The sequence below is a fragment of the Homo sapiens genome, chromosome X, assembly GCF_000001405.40.
Source record: "Homo sapiens chromosome X, GRCh38.p14 Primary Assembly".
NCBI lineage: Eukaryota > Metazoa > Chordata > Mammalia > Primates > Hominidae > Homo > Homo sapiens.
Window position 1 is genome coordinate 120,018,234 of NC_000023.11, and position 3,736 is coordinate 120,021,969.

Below are 3,736 nucleotides of genomic sequence, written 5' to 3' on the forward strand. Positions count from 1 at the left end.
GGAAATGTCCAGAGCTGGGATTTGAACCCATCCTCTGAGTACTGTCCCTGACACAGACGACGTGCTCAATAACCTTTGCTATTATGCTATAATTAGTGTTCTTTTGTAATTAGTAAACTAGAGATAAACAGAAATATATGTATCATTTAGCTCAAAATTTCCTTCACTTGTTTGAATATCGAATTAGTGCCATACATATCTAGTGGTACCTCTACTCTGTTAATTACTTCTTTTACTGTGCAGAAGCTTTTTAGTTTAATAAATGCCATTTGCATATTTTTTTGCCTGAAATGCACAGTCTTATTTACTATATCCTTATTCTTTGTTGGAATGTTGCCTTAGAACTATAGAAAAGTAGTGATACATTAAAAAAAAAACATAACTAAGTGTCTAGGGATAAGTGGAGATAACTGGAATGACTAGCATAAGCCAGAAAGCCAAAAAGCATTCTTTCCAACTCTGACATCATATTTCTTGTTGGCCTAATGTGTTAATGCTATACATAAGTCATGATACCTAGGGAAAAAGTAAACTACAGACAGCTTGCGATAAGTGGTATAATTAGTTGAATCCAATAAGATGAAAAACATATTCTCAAGTCTACCTTCTAATTTCTTCTGGAAATAAGGAGTTAATAATACAGATATCTGGGAGTACCTAAAGAACTAGTTAAGTAGACACAAGTAAAGTTAAATAGAGAACTACATAGTAGCTCATTATATAAAACCCATTTTCCCCAAATCTAAACCCTAACCACTCCTAACCCCTTAGTATTTGCAGAGTATATTAAAAAACACAGATATATTGAAAAACACAGCAGGCAAGGGTCTCTGCCTTTGCTTCAGGCTCTCAGAGAGATGAGAGTTATTATTCCTGGCAGATTGTAGCAACAACCATCCAGGTGTATGTAAAGAACATTCTTGCAAATGTGTGTAATCTCCTCTGATCTAACATCCTATGGGTAGGTGGAGATGAGGCAAGAGGAAAAGACTACAGTAGCAAATCATTTCATTTGGATACTTAATAAATTAAGTAAACTACTAAATTATTTGACCAGCTTGCATTTGTAATTATATGCCAAAAAGTATGCTTTTTTATTTTATATTGAAATCATATTTTTTTCTTTGGAGAAGAATGGAATTGGTGGTGAAGTGTCACAAAGTCTGAAATTTACCTGTGAACGTTTCAGCAAAAAGCAAAGAAGCAAAAGCACATGCACACATAGCTATAGAAAGAAAATATAGCAAAATGTTAACAAAGTTTGAACCTACTTGGTGAGTATACCAGTGTTACTGTTCATTCTTTAAAGTTTTCTGTATGTTTGAAAATTTTCATTAACAATTTTTAAAAAATAAATGGAAGGTTTCAACAAAGTACATAAACCCAAAAGCCTTACACTTAACATCTAAGGCTCAAATAGCAACGAAGTTTGACTTCTACAATAAACAATAAAGACCCTTGGCTTTTATTTCACTAAAGTATTGCCACATTATAAGCATTGCCTTAAAACGTCTGCTCTCAAAAAGACATTTGGGGTTATATGGCAAAAGTGTCAAAGCAAGGCACTGAAAGACCAAAGAACTCCATGTAAAGATTATCCTAAACCGAATTGCCTTGGGATTTCTAAAAGTACTGCAAACACTACCCAAGGCTGATTTTGTCCACGTCTAGCGATTTCCCCACCTCCGTCCTTGGATGCCGGCATTCCAAGTGGCTCACAATATCTCCCAGCCAAACACACTGAAATTCTTAGACTTAAGACAAGTATGCCACAGAGCAGCCTTCTGACACTGCAACTGGGGACAATCAGTGCACCCTCACTTCTCTCTCCACCACTCCTCAACATCTTCCCCAAGATCCTTTATTTTAATTTTTTTAGAGACAAGATCTCACTCTGTTGTCCAGGCTGCAGTGCAGTGGCCTGATCATGGCTCACTGCAACCTCCACCTCCTGGGCTCAAGCTATCCTCCCGTCTCAGCCTCCAGAGTAGCTGGGATTACAGGCATGCACCACCGCGCCTGGCGATTGAAATTTTATTTTATTTATTTTCTTCAAGACAGAGTTTTGCTGTGTTGCTCAGGCTGGTCTCCAGCTCCTGGGCTCAAGAGAGCCTCCCGCTTCAGCTTCCCCAATAGCTGGGACTGCAGGTGAACACCATCATGCCTGGCATCCCCCAGGATCCTTGAGCCTTAAGTATTGCACGCACCTCTCAGGCAGCCACACCCACCATCAGAGTGTGGTCAAGCCCATGAAACCTCAGGCAGCCCCACTGAGCTTGCTGACGATTTCACTTTGCACAGGCTAGGGTGGAGTATGGCAGCCCCACTGAGCTTGCTGACGATTTCACTTTGCACAGGGCTAGGGTGGAGTATGGCACCCCCTTCTCCATTCCCTGCAGATCTTCCTTAAAAAAAAAAAAAGTTTTCCTTTTATTTTTTCATTTTAGTTCTCCATGTATGTATGTATGTATGTATGTATGTATGTATGTATGTATGTATTTATCTTGTTGCCCAGGCTGGAGTGCAGTGGCGTGATCCAGGCTCACTGCAACCTCCGCCTCCCAGGTCAAGTGATTCTCCTGCCTCAGCCTCCTGAGTAGCAGGGATTACAGGCACGTGCCACCCATGCCTGGCTAATTTTTGTATATTCAGTAGAGACGGGGTTTCACCATGTTAGCTAGGCTTGTCTTGAACTCTTGACCTCAGGTGATCCGCCTGCCTCAGCCTCCCAAAGTGCTGGGATTACAGGCATGAGCTACTGCGCCCGGCCTTATTTATTTATTTTGAGAGGGTACATGTGCAGGTTTGTTACATGGATATATTATGTGATGCAGAGGTTTGGGCTTCTATTGAACCCATCATCCAAATAGTGAACATAGTACCCAATGGATAGTTTTTCTTTTTAAAATTTTTATTTATTTATATATTTTTTAAATGCAACGTAGTTGTTATTGTAAGTGCTCATCCATTTAAAAATAAATCTAGACTGGGCATGCAATAGCTCATATTTGTAATCCCAGCTACTCGGGAGGCCAAAGCTGGAGGATCACTTGGCCCAGGAGTTCAAGGTTACAGCGAGCTATGATCATGCCATTGCACTACAGTCTGGGTGGCAGCGTGAGACCCTGTCTCTAAAAACAAAACAAAACAAAACAAAATAAAATAAAATAAATCTATACTGCCTTACATTTTTGGATTTTGTTTTCCATTGACAAAAACATTAGAATCGATTTTTCCAAAGCACTTTCTTTTCTCCTATAAACTTTAAAGTAGGTTTAAGATGTGCATACTCAAAAATCATATGCTTATGATTCTTTAAATTCTTTAAAAAACAAAATTCTGAAATAATTTTTACACCTTACAGTTCAGCTTAAAAGTACATCTGTTGCAGTAACAAAGCATTCAACCAGCACTTTCCTGACAAGTGTTACCATAAGCTACATAGGCTACAACTGTGTTTAAGCACTTTTATTATTTCACAGGAGTTATTATGAGCTGCCAGTTCTCCTATTTGCACAGTTCATTCACACTTTTTAAAGTAGTTTCATATTCACCATTTTATTTGCCCCTCTCAATTGCCCCCTAAAGGTGAGGCACCCAGGAGACTTCTCATTCCTATTTTAAAGTTGTGGAAACCAAAGTAGGACGTAAGCTAGTTACCACACTGGGCCCACAATTCAAGTCTCATGAGCCTGCAATTCATGCCCACCAACTGCCGCTTCATCCCCTTAAGCTA